This window comes from Homo sapiens, chromosome 2, assembly GCF_000001405.40.
Source record: "Homo sapiens chromosome 2, GRCh38.p14 Primary Assembly".
NCBI classification, from domain to species: Eukaryota; Metazoa; Chordata; class Mammalia; order Primates; family Hominidae; genus Homo; species Homo sapiens.
In genome coordinates this window covers 203,423,354-203,441,443 of record NC_000002.12, presented here as the reverse complement: position 1 = coordinate 203,441,443, position 18,090 = coordinate 203,423,354, and the positions used below count along the sequence as shown (strand labels likewise).

General features: G+C 40.3%; 2 protein-coding genes across 139 annotated transcripts in view; one reads left to right on the top strand and one right to left on the bottom strand.

Annotated features, from left to right (window-relative positions):
* Nucleotides 1–7,762, top strand: part of RAPH1 (Ras association (RalGDS/AF-6) and pleckstrin homology domains 1) — a 101,620-nt gene extending 93,858 nt beyond the window's left edge. For all 16 annotated transcript variants that reach the window (NM_213589.3, NM_001439024.1, NM_001439027.1 and 13 more), the window contains one exon: nucleotides 31–7,762. In NM_213589.3, coding sequence (NP_998754.1) covers nucleotides 31–2,007 — 1,977 coding nt within the window. In that variant the 3' untranslated portion in view covers nucleotides 2,008–7,762. The remainder of the gene's footprint in view (nucleotides 1–30) is intronic.
* A 1,512-nt stretch (nucleotides 7,763–9,274) lies between these two features.
* The window catches only part of ABI2 (abl interactor 2), a 103,776-nt gene continuing 94,960 nt past the window's right edge, over nucleotides 9,275–18,090 (bottom strand). For 98 of the 123 annotated variants that reach the window (NR_164713.1, NR_164705.1, NR_164714.1 and 95 more), the window contains one exon: nucleotides 9,275–14,267. Coding sequence is in view for 108 of the 123 variants with exons in the window: in NM_001375719.1 (NP_001362648.1) it covers nucleotides 14,092–14,267 (176 nt within the window). In the remaining 15 variants the exon portion in view is untranslated. The remainder of the gene's footprint in view (nucleotides 14,268–18,090) is intronic. The other 25 variants (NR_164707.1, NM_001375753.1, NM_001375672.1 and 22 more) reach the window with 2 other exon arrangements.

Sequence of the window (18,090 nt, the reverse complement as noted above, 5' to 3'; positions counted from 1 at the left end):
TCTCCCACTCCCTTTTTATACTCCTTTTAGGCCAGAATGGAGTCTATGAATCGGCCCTACACTTCACTTGTGCCCCCTTTATCCCCGCAACCTAAGATAGTCACCCCCTACACTGCTTCACAGCCTTCACCACCTCTACCTCCTCCGCCACCCCCACCTCCTCCTCCACCACCCCCTCCACCACCCCCTCCTCCCCCACTCCCCAGCCAGTCTGCACCTTCTGCAGGCTCAGCAGCCCCAATGTTCGTCAAGTACAGCACAATAACACGGCTACAGAATGCGTCTCAGCATTCAGGGGCCCTGTTTAAGCCGCCAACACCCCCAGTGATGCAGTCACAGTCAGTGAAGCCTCAGATCCTGGTACCCCCCAATGGAGTTGTTCCACCACCCCCTCCCCCTCCTCCACCCCCAACCCCAGGCTCTGCCATGGCCCAGCTAAAGCCTGCACCGTGTGCCCCATCCCTTCCACAGTTCAGTGCCCCGCCTCCTCCACTGAAGATCCATCAAGTTCAGCATATTACTCAGGTGGCTCCCCCAACACCCCCCCCACCTCCTCCTATCCCTGCACCCCTCCCTCCCCAAGCTCCCCCAAAACCCCTTGTGACCATCCCCGCACCAACCAGCACCAAGACTGTGGCACCTGTTGTGACTCAAGCTGCACCACCCACACCTACTCCTCCAGTGCCCCCAGCAAAAAAGCAGCCAGCTTTCCCTGCTTCTTACATTCCACCCTCTCCCCCTACCCCTCCTGTTCCAGTACCCCCGCCAACATTACCCAAGCAACAGAGCTTCTGTGCAAAACCCCCTCCCTCTCCACTGTCACCGGTGCCCTCGGTCGTGAAGCAGATAGCCAGCCAGTTTCCACCCCCTCCAACTCCCCCTGCCATGGAATCTCAGCCCTTAAAGCCTGTCCCAGCAAATGTAGCTCCACAGTCCCCTCCTGCAGTAAAAGCAAAGCCCAAGTGGCAGCCCAGCTCCATCCCAGTCCCTTCTCCGGACTTCCCTCCTCCCCCTCCTGAAAGCAGCCTGGTGTTTCCTCCTCCACCCCCATCACCTGTCCCAGCCCCACCACCACCACCTCCACCCACAGCTTCTCCTACCCCTGACAAAAGTGGATCTCCAGGCAAAAAGACCAGTAAGACGTCCAGCCCTGGGGGAAAGAAACCACCCCCAACCCCACAGCGCAACTCCAGCATTAAATCCAGCAGTGGTGCAGAGCACCCCGAGCCCAAGAGACCCTCGGTGGACAGTCTAGTCAGCAAGTTTACACCGCCAGCAGAATCAGGGTCTCCCAGCAAGGAGACCCTACCACCTCCTGCAGCACCCCCCAAGCCTGGAAAACTCAATCTTTCTGGAGTCAACCTTCCTGGAGTTCTCCAACAAGGGTGTGTGTCAGCAAAAGCCCCTGTTCTGAGTGGGCGTGGAAAGGACTCCGTGGTGGAATTTCCTTCTCCTCCATCCGATTCTGATTTTCCACCCCCTCCACCTGAAACAGAGCTTCCTCTGCCCCCCATTGAGATTCCAGCAGTTTTCTCGGGAAACACCTCTCCAAAAGTGGCAGTCGTTAATCCTCAACCACAACAATGGTCTAAAATGTCAGTGAAGAAGGCCCCTCCACCCACACGACCCAAACGGAATGATAGCACCCGCCTCACTCAAGCTGAGATTTCTGAGCAGCCAACAATGGCCACAGTTGTGCCACAAGTGCCCACCTCTCCCAAATCCAGCCTTAGTGTCCAGCCTGGATTCCTGGCTGACCTCAACAGGACACTGCAACGAAAGTCCATCACTCGGCACGGCTCACTCTCCTCCCGCATGTCCAGAGCAGAACCAACAGCCACCATGGATGATATGGCATTGCCTCCACCACCCCCTGAACTGCTGTCTGATCAACAGAAGGCTGGTTACGGAGGCAGTCATATATCAGGCTATGCAACGTTGCGGAGAGGACCCCCTCCTGCTCCCCCCAAAAGAGACCAGAACACCAAGCTCTCCAGAGACTGGTAGCCACCATAGGACTTTATTTTCATGATATCTGTAATCACTGCTACAATCAGCTCACCTGATCATCTGTGAATTCAGGTGTTCAGAGCCTCCTGGTATGATGTTATTCAGGTAGTGTCCAGCTATATGTGTATGTGTGTGTGTACACGTGCATGTACACACAGCTGTACAGTGTGTGTATATATGTATACATATATGTATGTGTATGTGTATATAGAGAGAGAGCTGAGAGTTATTCTATTTATTCCTTTTCTCTCCTAATCTGAAAATGGGTGTTCTGTATTTTGGGTGGAAGAGGCATAGAAGGGGATGTGTGTTGTCTCTTAAGATTTCTATATCATGTGGATTGGACCAAAAACTTCTAATCACTTATTTAGAAGGTATTTATAAGTGTCTGTCCATGTGTAGCCTATTCGTGCATGTTGTGTATTATATAACTAAGGAATAGATGTAGAATGTGCTATTTCTGGTTGAGAAAAATCACCAGAATGTTTGGTGTATCTATAAGGCTTTTGTGTTTGTTTTTCCCCAGTTGGCTGAAGTTAGAATTGCTTGACTGACACTTCATTGCTATACATGAAGGGGCACTTTAAATCAGGAAAATCTCTCAGCTTCATAGAACGGGTAACTAGTGCAGGATGGGGAAATGTTCACAGACATCATCTGTATGTGGTTGTGCATAGAAAGTAAATACATGGCGTAATTAACTCAGCTGTTCTAGCTGCAGTACTGCTGCAGTGATCCACCCACATTTAGGATGTGCTGACAGATAAGCTCTTTGCCTACAATACATGGATAATTAGTGCTATAATTCTGGATAGTTCCTTTTTAGTACTGTTTTATGAAGCTTTATCAACTTGGCTTCATGATCCTCACTTTGATTGATTTTAAGAGGATGGATAACACAGTTATCTCTGTAATGTTCTGTCCCAGTATGTCTTTGGGTCACCAGTTACCTTCTTAAAATATGTGCTTTAGGTAGGTGTTATTACATATCTGTAGACAATTGGTATATGAAATATACACATCCTGTGCCCCAATATGGTGCATTATGAAAAACAAAATCATTTTCTAAAATGCATTTTTTGAGCATTGCTCTATAGAAGGGAAGGGTGATGAGAGAACAGAACTGGCCCCTGTACAGGTGTCATTAATCTGGTTGTATATGGGTTATAATATGTAATACAAAAAGCTCATTAAGTATGGGACTACATGGAGAGGGAAGACAGTTTCATTTATAGCTACTGGGGCTACCAGGACCCTTGCTGACTGCAGCCTGGTTGTGATTAGTTCAGGTTACTAGGTGTTCTGATGGAGTGGGACAGTCCAAGTCCAGTAACTGACATTACGTTTTATGCGTGTGCAGTTTGGTATAACGTGGAGTCAGTGCTCTAACGACACACTATACTTCTATATGCTTTTTTCTGTGAATTTTCCTTGGTACATGAGAGAAATAAGTACTCTCATCAACTTATGATAAATTGGACTATTAGGAATAAAACAATCTCAGAGCAGCTCCTAAACAAGAGAATAAAAATGGGCCATCCCAGCACTTATAAGGGGAGCACATCTTGTAATGAAAGTCTGTGCCTATTGTTAATGATTACCAATGCAAACTGCAGAAATCAGTTGACATTGTCCCACAAGGAAAAAGTGATGCCAGTAAAGTGGGGGAAGAGATGGTAAATAATTCTAGAATGAGCAAAAGTGCTTAATTAGTACAGTATACTCAAGGTCTTGCATAACCCACACTCCACGAAAACCGCATCGTAAACAGAGAGTGAACAGCACCTCTCCATTGCTACATCTCCAGAATATTGTTCGGTTATGTTCATGTGGTTATGGAGCAATAAGAATATATACCATTAATTTTTAGGTCTTTCAAATTGTTCACCAAGTTTTGTGTTTGATATTTATGAAGTGATCTTTAACACATCTGCATTGTTAATTTAAGCATGCACAGAAATTTGGGTAATGTTTGAGTAGATTGCCAAGCGCTACTGTGATTCATGAATGAATTTCTCATAGTCTTCTGCCTGCAGTTTTATAGTTTGAGGGGCACCCATATTTGTGGGTTAGAGTTAGTAAGAATATGAATCCAGTTATCAAAGTATTCATCCCTGAGGTTTTGAGTTTTATTGTGGTGGTGATTTTCTCATGAGAAGGTAGACAACACTTCAGTTTTTCTTGAGGGGGAAAAAATGTACCCGCTAACCTTTTTTCACCCATGATTTGAGCCCTAAAACAACAGCCTTTATGTTTTCAGTGCAGGATTTCTTGGAATTTCTTGCTTGTATCAATCCTGATGATAGCCATCCTGAACAGATGCTTCTGGTCTGTTTTCCTGGAATAGCAGACATCCTTTTGAACACTAATGATGCCAGGAAGAGAGTAAGGCTAGAGGAGGAGACTCATTTTAACCCCAGTCCAGTGGCTTGTCCGACAACAGGCCATTTCCCTTTACATTCCTCCACAGACAGAAATGGCTATTAAAAATGTTTTAACCTCATGTATGAACTGAATTTAAAAAACCACTAAAGTGATACTTTATACTTCTGTTTTACTCCCTAGTGGGTTTTCTTTAATTTGGATTTTTGTTGGGATGTAGCTTTTCCTAGACTGTATTTCTGTAGCTCTTTTTCTCTGGTGTATTCATGGAAAGCATCTACTGCCGCACGACACTAGTACTGTGCCTTCTTTCACTGCCCTCTGCTCTGCAGCTCTCACCCAGCTTGGCTGCTTCAAGTCTGTGCAGTTGACTTGGCTGTACTGAAAAGTGAACAGCATGGATTAACTCATCCTGCTGCTGAGGGCAGTGCAAACAGGTGCTTATTAGAGGTAGTGACTTGCTTAATTAGTGACACTCCTAATTTCTACTATGGATAATTTCAAAGTAGAATCACTCTATGCTTAGAGTTTTGGCACCAATGCTGTAGGGCAGCAGAATCTATTCTCAGTAAAATAACTTATGGTTTATTAGATATTCTGTATTGGATTTTACCAGCTTGACTTTTACTGCTCAGATGCTTTCTTTCCCCCCCTTAGACGCTGTAATTCTCTTGGGAAGAGTAACTATTCTTAAGGTTTTTACAGATACCCACCTTAGTTGTAAATTGGATAGTTTATATTTCTGGGACTTTTTAAATGAAAATGTGGAATGTTAAGTTACAAAAGACTTTTCATCAGAAAATTTCAAACAAAGTAAACATGGCGTTTTATAGTCCTCTAAAATCTAGGTGCTCCCACCCACCAAAGGCATATCCTGCAAAGGGCTGTGAACTATCTTGGTGAACTGTCTTGGGTCCCCTTTCCATGTATGTTTTCTTGTCACTGAAAACAAACAACGCTGAGTTTATCAAGAAAATTTAAATTGGGGGATCATAATAATTCCAACCAAGTGACAACTCTGACATCAAGGTTATTAGGAGCTGTACATCCAATTCAAGTTTTATTTGCTGCTATTCTGGGAGAATAAACTTGTATATGGAGAATAAACTAATAAACTTGTATCGAGGAAATCCATAAAGTTATAAATTAGCCTGAAAAATATTTCAGGTAATGGTGTGGATTGGCCTGCTTTGACTCTCAGCCACCAACAGAAATCTTTGTCACCTTTGTTCCTCAGCTAAAAGTAATTTTGTTATAAACACAAAGTGACTTTAAACAGGTAAAAAACCCATTCCTATTTTTGTACATTACCAAAAGTTTTTCATATACCTACAGAGCTAACTAATTACAACTGATTTAATCCACTCAAGTTTAGACCAGTTAAACCCATAGGATCCTGTATGGTTATCAATGTGATGCCTTGCTTTTCATAAAATAGGTATAATTGGGTCATACACTTGACGAGAGGGTGACTGTTTCTAGGGGAAGAAAACCCTTTAGATTGCAGGTAACTTTCACTTTTTTTTTTTTAATATACACTTTACATTTGTATAAATTATGCAGGGTACTCCTAACCCTGTAGAAATGTATGACCTCTCACAAAGTTGAGATTTGATCCAAAGAGAAATGCAAGTATAAAAGAATTAGATACTTATTATCTTTTAAGGTTTTTTTTTTTTTTTGGTAGAGATGGGGGTCTCACTGTGTTGCCCAGGCTGGTCTCAAACTCCTGGCCACAAGTGATCTTCCTGCCTCAGCCTCCCAAAATGCTGAGATTACAGGCATGAGCCACTGTACCCAGCCTTTCCTTATAAAATTCAAAGAGAAAATTTCTACACCTTTATCCCTCAAATAAAACAAGTGCTCAGTTCTTACCGTGCCCTTGCAAGGTCTATATGTAAAAGAAATCTGAAATTTAGCTGTAGAATAAAACTTGATAAATAAAAAGAAAAAACATACATTTCTCCAGTTGGTTTGCTCTTTGCTTGTTGAAGTAATAAACCGTTTTAAAGAGAAAATACTTGCTGTAAACCCCCAGTGCCTTCAACTCTTTTGGCAGAATATTTTTAAAGAAATCCAGCAAGCAAACTTTGAGGTGCTAATGAAAGTAAAGGAAGGTGGTATTTCTAGTTTTGGCAGAAATGAAAAGTGTCTCACAAGAGACATCACTACCCACGTGGGGTCTGGCTGCTTTCTACCAAAGACATTTAGAGAAGTGAATTGAGTCAGGGTGATGGTGAACACTACATATTTTATAGATGGTTAAGTTGAGAATTAATTATGTTTATCATGGATGGCTACTAATACCAAGCTCATGATTGTTGCAGCCTCAACGTCTTAGGCAGTAAAACTTGTCTGCAGCACTAAAGGGGGAGAAACCCTTATATTTTGCAAACTGTCCATTCGTTAAATTTATTGTAACCTAATACCAAAAACTGCCGTTTTTCATATTATTTCCCCACCTCCTACTTTTTTTTTTTTTTTTGCTACTTGTAAAATAACCCCTTCTAGAAAATAAGCATTAACTGGAATGTTTCAAACAATTTTGCTTCATTTTACTATCAGCCACTAGTGAACTCTTACAGAGATGTACATTTAAGATAAAATTAGCTTGTGCTAAGTGTTTTAAAAACATTGTTTACTGTTAAAGGGGAATTGCACATTATATTTAACTGGGATTGCTCCCTCCCTCAGTTCTTTAAAAAACAAGAGTCAAGGCTCACACCAACTTGTAGGCTGTGGGAGCTTTGCCATAGGTAGATACAATGTAGAAGTATACTTTTTTAAAGCATGAAGAAGACAAGGAACTTCATTATAATGTACCAGGTAGAGGACATTATTATTCAAAGGATTATGCACAGCTCAGTGAAGATGAAGTTACAATTTTTCTCGCAGCTTTGTTGCTATTATTTTCTTCTGCATAAATGTATGCTCATTTCATTATGTGCCTTGCTCCCTGATTGTGCAAAGCTATATATATATATATATATATATAGATAGATAGATAGATATATGAGAGAGATATATTCAGTACTACTGAGGATGTTTTTCTGAGGATGTTTTTGTTCTGCTGGATTAAGTTATTTTCCAAGTTACTCTTGCCAGTTATGTCAGTAAACTATTGTAATGGCTTAGCACACTAGTCGTACAGTCAGTGTAAATGTTTTTCATTTACATGTTTTCATTATATCAGCTTATCAAATCCTTAATAAAAAAAATTCATAGATTTCATTTAAACATGGGGACTTTGAGTGTTTGTGGATCGGCACCATTAAGAATCTGGTTTTGCATTTCATGTCAGGGTACCCAAAACATAGGCCATACACAGAAGAAATTAAGTGTGGTAAATAAACTAGTTTGATATGTTCAATTTGTTAACTTTTAAGAGTAGTTTATACCAACTAGGGAAATTTGGCCATTAAATACATTGGTGATTAAGTGACAACAGCTTTTAAAGAAAGACTTTTCTTCTCAGCCGGGTGCGGTGGCTCACGCCTGTAATCCCAGCACTTTGGGAGGCCGAGGTGGGTGGATCGCGAGGTCAGGAGATCGAGACCATCCCGGCTAACATGGTGAAACCCCGTCTCTATTAAAAATACAAAAAAAAATTAGCCAGGAGTGGTGGCAGTCGCCTGTAGTCCCAGCTACTCGGGAAGCTGAGGCAGGAGAATGGCATGAACCCAGGAGGTGGAGCTTGCAGTGAGCTGAAATTGTGCCACTGCACTCCAGCCTGGGCAACAGAGCGAGACTCCGTCTCAAAAAAAAAAAAAAGGTAAAAAAGATTTTTCTTCTTTAAACAAAGAACTAAGTACAAAGTAAAGTAATACAAAAAGGAATGCCTTTTGTTTGTTTCAAATCTTTGGAGTCACAATTACGTGTTGGACTGCCATGTGAAGGTATGTATAAATGTATAATGTGTTTGCAATCACTTTATTATGTACCAAACTAGGGCAAAAAAAGTGGAAGCCTTCCCCTTTCGTTCACCATCTGTCAATCATACGTGGTTGTGGAAACTGCACCTGTACTTATGCCTTCAGAAGCAGCAGTGTACACAGGCTGACAGGAAAACAGAACGCATGGCATGTGCCCCTTAATTGGCATATGCCCCAGATCCACAAAGCCGTTCAACCAAATGTGTAATTCCAAAGTAACCCAAAAAAGTCAAGCAATAGGCTTATTAACAAAAGATTGGATACTATCTATCTTTGAGACAAGACAAGACTGCTCTGACGCCTAAAATCCTATTCACAAATACGAGAAACCCATAAATGTTTTAGCTGGGTATTTGTTTCCTACATTATTCTTCACCTTACCTAATGATACCAAAATAATAAAGGTACAGAGGAAATAAGATGGGCTTGAAAAGTGAGAAAAGCTGAAACATCATTTTGGGTATTGTGAAGACAAACTTACTTGCTACCCTCAGATACATCATTAGAAAATTCTTTTATAATCTAGGCTCTCATAGCAACAAAGCACAGGCTAGTTAGTGGTTTGTCTTTTAGATTCACTTCTGACCAGTCTGCAATATTTTTTAGTCAACACCCATCTTCAGTGTTTGTCTGTTGAATTAAAAAAACTGTACATTAACAGAATTAGATTTGGAGAAAAGTGGTAAGAAAACCCCAGGTGCGAGTGGAGCAAAAACAGGATTAGAAAGTTCTTAATTAGAACAGCTGTCTTCAGGGAAGAAACTTGAGATCAAATTTAAAGCTCAACATTTTAAATCTTTGAAAATTTAAAAAGACGACTTCTTCAGTAATAAAAGGCAGCTCCCTGGTTTAGAGCAACAGAAAAGTCAGATTATCCCTAACACGTAAACTCAAGATACCACCTTAGAAAAAGAGGTTATTTATATAAATAAGTTAACAAGACACCTGAATATACTTTGTGGGATTTTATTTAGGTCAAGTTCTTAGTACACGGCAACAATTCCAAATACAATTAAAAAATTAAAAAGTGATGTTCCTCCACTCATCTGGAGGTGGTTTAATGGCACACAAGGAACATTACTGGCAACAGACTGCTCCCTCAAGTTCCCCTGGATGGTTTTTACTCAACTCATAATACCACCAACTCTCCCTCTGGGAGCTAAAAGTACAACTGGCCAGATCACAAATTGTTTACATTCTTTTTTGTAAGCCATTTTAAGAAAAATGGTGCATGGACACAAAATATGATAAAAACTGCTTTTCCATAGAATTCTTAAGTTGCAAAAGAGGTTTCATTTTAATGTGAAAATAAGCTTTTTTTGTTGGTTTTTCTTTTTTCTTACAAAAAACCTTAAGATATTCAGCAAGGATCATTTATACACAGCTAGGCCCCGCCGTTTCGTTTTAATTGTTTTTTTTTTTTAATAATTATATGAGATTCTCAAAACAGGAACAAAGGTCAGCACAAAGTAAACTTAAAGGTAATGAGCTCAATGCCTCCATTTAATCACTTTTATAAGGCTCTCTCCAATAAGGCTGCTGTGCTGTGCTCCTGCCAGTGTTGGAGTAATATAACATTTTTACTGCACACACCTTATGGGAAAGTGTTTATACTGAGTGTAGTTTTAGGAGGGGTAAATGAAGATTATTTCCACAAATTAAGATTGCACTTAGTACACGCCTTTACACAACTCTGATGGTATTTACCAAAACATGGCATGTCTTTTCACGTATATTCCTGAAAACACCAAATAGAACTCTTAACTTTTAAAGAAAAATACAGCACATTTAGTTAAGACAGTTGTGGTGCAGTGGAAAATTAAGTACTGAGCACTGAGTGAGAACTCTGCTGTTATTAACTAGCTGTTCATATGAAGAAGAAAACTCACCTCATCAGTCTAATGAGACAACCAGAAATTTTAAAAATTTCATCTAGCTCAAACTCAGTGATTCTAAATCTTATATGGGGGAAATTACCACCTTAACACCAATCAGGAGTTCCCGGCCAAAAAGACCAGAAGTGAGCAGATCCCATTCTTTTCAAAGACTTGTCAGTCACCTGTGAATTCCTCCATCAAACCTTTTTCAAAGGCAAAGGTGACCTTCAGGACATGTCATGCTGTCTCCACAAAGGAGAAAAGAAAAGGTAGTAAAAGATAAAAACAGTTCTTAATGCAGAAAGGTCACCTACTAAAAGAAAATGAACATAAAAAGATAAAAGCAAACTACCATCATTTTGATGCCTCCCAAAGAGAAAAATCTTTAGTTATCTTCAACATAAACTGCCAAGGAGCACAGGTACGGTCCAGACATCACGGTAAATATGCATAAAATATTGTCTAGCTGGATAATAAACACCAGCAGTAGGAAAAAGGAGGGGATGAAAATGTCTCACACCCAGTAACTTTTAGGAACATAGCAAAATTAGCAGGCCACTGTCAACTCTAAAATGGGAACAGCAGGCGCCTCTGAGGGAGATAGGAAGTAGCTAAATGATGGAAAATATTAAACAAGATAGCTTAGAAGATTCATATTTATTCCAAATGGGAGGCTGAATCTCTCAGATGTCGATTTTGACACATTGGCACTATTTTTGTTTCTGATTTATTGCCTTGGCCGTAAGTTCAAAGGCAACAATAAAGTGTACTTTCATTAATACCACCATGGACTTTCGAGTATTAATATGACAAGAAAAGACAACTATTCATTTTTTTTAAGGGGACTGGACACACAAACTTCAGGAGGGAAGAATCCCCTCTCCCATTAGAATCCCTCTATCTTGATAAAATGGTTGCTTTATTGGTCAGATTTTGGACTTGGATCGTCTGTTATAATATTAATAGTACACAGCATGTAAGATTTTCTGCATTCATTTGAAATTCCTAATACCAACCATCTTTTAATTTATAAAAAAAGAGGGAAACTTACAATAAAACAAAAAATACTACCCTCACAGATGATTAATAGCATGCAATCTATGAAATATTACATACATTAAAAGTCTCCAATTACTGTGTGCCTGACCCATCACACAGTATCCTTCCAAGACAATCTATAGAATTCAAAACTGTACAAAAATTATAAAATATGCAGAAAACCCAAAAGGTACTGTTTGTAAAACAAAGATCACACACACATTAGTACTAAATAGGGAAAAAAAATCAGCAGACCCATGGACTACCCCTGCTCCCAACCACAGGTCTTCAGTATAAAGGACTTCACCAGTGTCTTCTGCACTGCCCCCATCCCGTAGGGGTCCAAAAGACCAGCTGCATTCCTGCTGACCGCCACTAACTCTGTTTTCTGCATAGTTGTCTTCCCTGCTTCTGTAGTGGTGAGCTGTGGGAACTTTTTTTTTTTTTTTTTGATGGAGTCTCGCTCTGTCACCAGGCTGGAGTGCAGTGGCACAATCTCGGCTCACTGCAACCTCTGCCTCCCAGGTTCCAGTGATTCTCCTGCCTCAGCCTCCCAAGTAGCTGGGACTACAGGTGTGCGCCACCACGCCCAGCTAATTTTTGTGTTTTTAGTAGAGATGGGGTTTCACCATGTTGGCCAGGATGGTCTCAATTTATTGACCTCATGATCCACCCACCTCGGCCTCCGAAAGTGCTGGGATTACAGGCATAAGCCACCACACCCAGCCTGTGGGAACTATTTATTGGATTTCAAAACACCCTCTGCCTCATTAATCCACTAAGCTTTCTCAGCAAAAAGCTGTTTAAATAAATAATGGGAACATCTAATTTAAAACAGTTTTTCTAATTATAGACCAGTACACGAAGAAGAGCTTAACTTATCCAAGTATAGTCTAGTTTGGGTCCATAATGGAGCTGAAGGCTCAGAGGACATTCAGGGCCATTACACTGCAGGAAAACAAGGAATAAGGGATGTAGAAATGACCTAAGAAAAGCACGAAGTGGAATGTATACTGGAGGCAAGTTAATGAAAGCTAATAAATACAAAGTGCTGGGAAAAATCTAAAAGCAAAATAGCTATTGTAACTTGCAATGCATTAAAAACAACTTTAAAACCAAAAAGTCTTGATAAGGAAACTCTATAGTGGGGTCTCAGTTAAATGCTGATGATTTTTAATGCTCAGATAACATTAAGTGGAATATTAACTTCTGCATCCGACACCATCTGAATTTTCTCACACACTACTACACTTGTTCACTTTTCAATCAAGTTCCACTTTCTGAACTTGTTCAAAACCTCATTTGAAATATATCCAGCTACTGCTTTTCCCCTTTCACCTAGCACAGGGCAGTTACCTGGCAAAGCTCTATTCTGGCCAAGTCACTGGGACTGAGTAGAACCCACGTTAGCAGCTCTGGACCTGAACAGGAGCTGGCCCAACATCACAGTGACCACCCACAAAGAGACAAGCCCTCCTGGATTTTTTTCAGCATTTCTTATACTGACTACAGTAGTGATGATTAAAGTTATCTGCCCTACAGACTCCACTGAATTTGAAGCTGTATTTATTGTACAGATGGGGGAAATGTGTTTTATTGTGTCAGTTATATTAATTTTTATCAATGTGATTAGATACATATTTTGGCCTATTAATCTTATTCATTATATTCTTAGTCTGAGATGGGTTTTAATTCTGACTAACAGCAGCTACTTAAGAGTCCAATCATACAAAATCAGGAGAGTATTACCCTTTCTACAGCTAAGCGAGTCAGTAATACAGCAGCAACTAATACTGGCCATTAATAACGTCCAGAGAGCACATTAGCAAACCTTGTACTCCCAGTGACTGTCAGGAGACTTGAAAATAACTACTATTCTCTTCCAAAGTAGAATAGCGTTTTTCTAGATAGTGAAGGAAATGATAGTCATAGTTGGTCTGAACTCCAAGATCCTACTCCTCAAAACAGCACCGAAGCAGGGGTTCGGGATGCCTGCTAAGAGCATTTCCACAGTTCAAGTCTCTTCAGAACCTTAGGGACCTTCGTGTCTAGCTTCACACACCCACCTCCACATATGAACCAGCCTACCACACTTCACATCTGGGTACACTGGCCATTAGCAACAATGCAGTCTCATGCAGCAGCACATTAAAATCAAACGGGTGGCAATCGTTCACCACCCTCAGAGTGTTGGGAGACTTTCACATTTCATCATCCTTATAATCCACAAACAGAAACATGAAGGGATGCAAGTGAGTTCAGCATTCACTCGTTTGGTGCACTCAAGTGCTGAGAGAATGCAGAATTTACAGTGTCACAGAGGAAAAAAGCCATCTGAAATAATTGTAAAAATGGTTAAGTGTGGTATTTAAATGTTGGTTCCCTCCTCTTCATACAAGTGGAAGAAAAGAAGGGGCTAGGGTACCCACTGGGCCATGAGGTTAACCCCTTAGCACAGGCAATGAAGAACATCCAATGCCACAGATTCTGCAGGAGGAGAAATCCCAAGGGTATACAGTATTCCTGAGAAAGATCCCAGATTTTTCTGAATCAGTCTTAATCTGATTTTGTTTTGGCTACACAGTTATGCTGTTATACCTTTGACATACATAAAAATGGTCATTTTATTTCAATCCAGACAGCTCAGCATTGTACAAATGATGGCAGAAAGATCCATTTGTTCAGACTCAGCTTGCTTTGTTTTTAATACTGGGGAATAAACCAAAAAAAAAAGTGTAATTTTTATCATTTGTATCCTTCATTCTACTTTACTGGAGTGGAATCCCCAGGGCCTTCAGATAATCTGGGAAGACCTGACTATTCCTGTGAGGCAAGCACAGCCCTGCTGAGCTTTACTCAGAATAATGCATGATAGACTCAACGTAATTCCCAGGAAAAAGCCCAGTCACTCCATTCATAACTCCCTCATACCAACCATCGTCATTCTTCTTGATGACATAAATAATGGCTCCTTCCTGAAAGGACAGCTCATCTTCCTTGTCTTTTGTATAGTCATAAATTGCCACAACTAGGAGGGAAGAAAACAAAACAGGATGTGAAAGACAGTAATATTCCTAGAAAGACAGAACCAAGCCAGTGAATAGCTATCTGTTCCCAAATCCTGTAGCACTCAAACATGGTGACTTTCTAAACACCAACCAAAACTTACATGTTTTTTTTTCTAAGTAATACCCAGTCATATACAATGAAATTCCATTTTCTAGGGATGTTAGGCTCTAAATTGAGTACAAATGGGGAAAAAGCACATTTAATCAAATGTGCTTTTGATGACCTTTTAAGAGCCTACAGGGAAGTACCTCATTGAAGAGGTACACAATCCTAGAATCAAGAAAGATGGCTGTTTCTTCATTTGAGTTTGTGTTGAGATACCATATTGTGGTTTTTTTTTTTTTTTTTTTAAAGCTTTTCTTTACCTTAGAATTATACTAGGGCAATGAGATACACTATGAGAGTCAAGTGAGAAACCAGACTAATGGAACAGCAGATTTCTGTCTCCTTTCTCACTCTCTCTGGAGCCTATGCCTCTTCGCTAAGTAGAATGGTGGTTCAATTTCCCCAAGTTAAATGTATGAATGATGGGAGTCCGCTACATATATTTTTTCAAAACATATGCTGCACTATGTCACCAATTTAATATAACTATAATAACAGACTAAAAGTGACAAGAAAATCAGATACCTATAAGCCCTCCTGTGATTTTCATTGCTTAAATCACTTGGTAACTTGGCTCTTTGAGTCATTATCTCAGTGGTTATTTCAACTGTTATCTTATTTCAACCAGATAATCTCTGGTTCCCAAGTATTATATCAATTTCAACAGTTTAGTTATACTGGGATGCCCTGTAACATCCTCAATTCCACTTGAAGAATTATCCTTTGCTCCAACCTCTTCATCTTCTGTACCTATTTTATACCACTCAATGAAATCTCCACCTATCCATTGTTCCAAGACAAACACACTGTCTTTGTTAGTTTCTCATGCAACCTTGTGCCTCACATAAATCAATGAGAAACAAACTACAACAGGGACTTCTGATATAATGTGCCCTAAAGAAAATTTGTTTCTGGCCTGTTTTAATAAAAATTAAATAGCTTCCTTAAATTGTGAATATTTTCCATTATAGTGATATTGTAGGAACACCAGAATTTTTTTTTTTTTTTTTTGAGACAGTCTCACTCTTATCGCCCAGGCTGGAGTGCAGTGGCACTATCTCGGTTCACTGCAACCTCCATGTCCCAGGTTCAAGCGATTCTCTTGCCTCAGCCTCCCAAGTGCTGGGATTACAGGCGCCCACCACCACGCACAGCTAATTTTTGTATTTTTAGTAGAGACGGGGTTTTGCCATGTTGGCCAAGCTGGTCTTGAACTCCTGACCTCAGGTGATCCACTTGCCTCGGCCTCCCAAAGTGCTGGGATTACAGGCATGAGCCACCTGCACCTGGTCAGAAAATACTTTAGAAGATCCTTGCTAGGAAGAGATCAGTGTGCATTTCTCAATATATAACCAAATGCCTGAACACAATCAAATGTAGTTAAATGGCATACAAGTTTAAATATAAGAAAATACAAAAAAACCCAGAAAATACAATTTAGAATATTTAGCATTTCTAGTCAACCTAATATTTTCTAGTGTTTTTTTAAGGAAAGACAACATTCCTGATGCTTAAAGAAATGCAAATCCAGCCAGGTGCGGTAGCTTACGCCTGTAATCCCAACACTTTGGGAGGCCAAGGCAGGCAGACTGCTGACATCAGAAGTTCTAGACCAGCCTGGCCAACATGGTGAAACCCCGTCTCTACTAAAAATACAAAAATTAGCCAAGCGTGGTGGTGGGCGCCTGTAATCCCAGCTACTTGGGAGGCTGAGGCAAGAGAATCACTTGAGTGAGCTGAGATCGCAACACTTCCCTCCAGCCTTGGTGACAGAGTGAGACTCTTGTCTCAAAAAAGAAAAATAAAAGAAAAAGAAATGCAAACCCATGAAAAGTAATTCAGAAGAGAATATGAAGCCTGTTGTAACAGAGATGCTTAGAAGTGGAAAGTTAGTAAGCTCTATCTACATTCATTTTCTTCTTTAAAATGTAGAAATTGCCAGCCTAAGCAACATGGCAAAACCCCATCTCTACCAAAAAAAAAATACAAAAAAAAAAAAAAAAATTAGCCTGGCATGGTAGCGCGTGCCTGTGGTCCCAGCTACTTGGGAGAATCACCTGAGCTCAGCAAAGTTGAGGCTGAAATAAGCCGTGATTTTCCCACTGCACTCTAGCCTGGGTAACAGAGTGAGACTGTCTCAAAACAAATCAAAAGTAGAAACTAGATTAGATAGAATTTACACTTAACATGATTCCAGAGACTGTTTATAATGGTAGAGAGCTGAGAGTTTTAACAACTGTTCAGCTTTTTCTTTTGCCAAAATTAGTATTCACTATTTTAAAATTAACTTTTTCAAAAATCAGAAATATGCTGTATAGAATATTCACTTTCTGGCTGAGCACTGTGGCTCACACCTATAATCCCAGAACTTTGGGAGGCCGAGGCAGGAGAATCACTTGAGGCCATGAGTTCAAGACTGGTCTGGGAAACATAGCAAAACCCTGTCTCTAAAAAAATAAAAATAATAAATTAGCCAGGCATGGTGGTGCACGTCTGTGGTCCCAGCTACTTGGGAGGCTGAAGCAGGAGGATCGCTTGAGCCCAGAAAGTTGAGGCTGCAGTAAGCACTGAACGTACCACTGCACTCCAGCCCAGGTGACAGAACGAGACCCTGATAAGTAATTTTTAAATGAATATTCATTTTCACTCCAGGGAAAGATATACACCAGTAGTTTACTTCACTCCAGGGAAAGATATACACCAGCAGTTTACTTCATCTAATTCTTTACTGTAAAGCCATTCATCAAAAAGCAAAATACTCTTGATTTAGTGCAACAAACTTTTATCAAAGTAACTCTAAAGCGGTGTAATAAAGTATCTGTGTTTTCACCAATATTCAAAATACCGATGTTGAGAAATGTAAAATCTGTCTAGATTTTATTTAGTCTGGAAAACTGGTTTTGGCAATAGGGAAGAAAGTCACTTTTTCCAATTATGCATGTATATCACGCATAGTATCAAAATCATATGGGGAACTGATAAAGCACATGTAAGAAAAAACTTAAAATGCTAGACATCTGGTTTTTGTGCAGTTATGACTGAAACAGAAAAGGACTTACACATTGTTCTTCTAAATGTTTCTGCTAAAGTAAAAATACATTCTAAATTTCAAAGTACATTGTTCATATTTAGCATTTCAATTGAATACATTCTAGAATATTTTATGAAGGTCTGTAAAACTGAAAAAAACTTCTTAGCTTAAATGATTCTCTTTTTAATTTTAATCCTATAATTTTATATGAAGTATGCTGCAGAGTTAAAGATAAGCAAAGAATAATGGTACCATGCCAGCAGAAAAGGACCCAGATTGGGCTGGGCGCGGTGGCTCACGCCTGTAATCCCAGCACTTTGGAAGGCCAAGGTGGGCAGATCACAAGGTCAGGTTTGAGACCAGCCTGGCCAATATGGTGAAACCCCGCCTCTACTAAAAATGCAAAATTTAGCAGGCATGGTGGCCGGCGCCTGTAGTCCCAGCTACTCGTGGGGCTGAGGCAGGAGAATGGCGTGAACCTGGGAGGCGGAGGTTGCAGTGAGCCGAGATTGCACCACTGCACTCTAGCCTGAGCGACAGAGCGAGACTCCGTCTCAGAAAAAAAAGGACCCAGATGATTTTTTCTCTCCTAAAATAGTAAATTGAAACAAAGAGGAGCAATCTAAACATAAAACTCTCTACACTA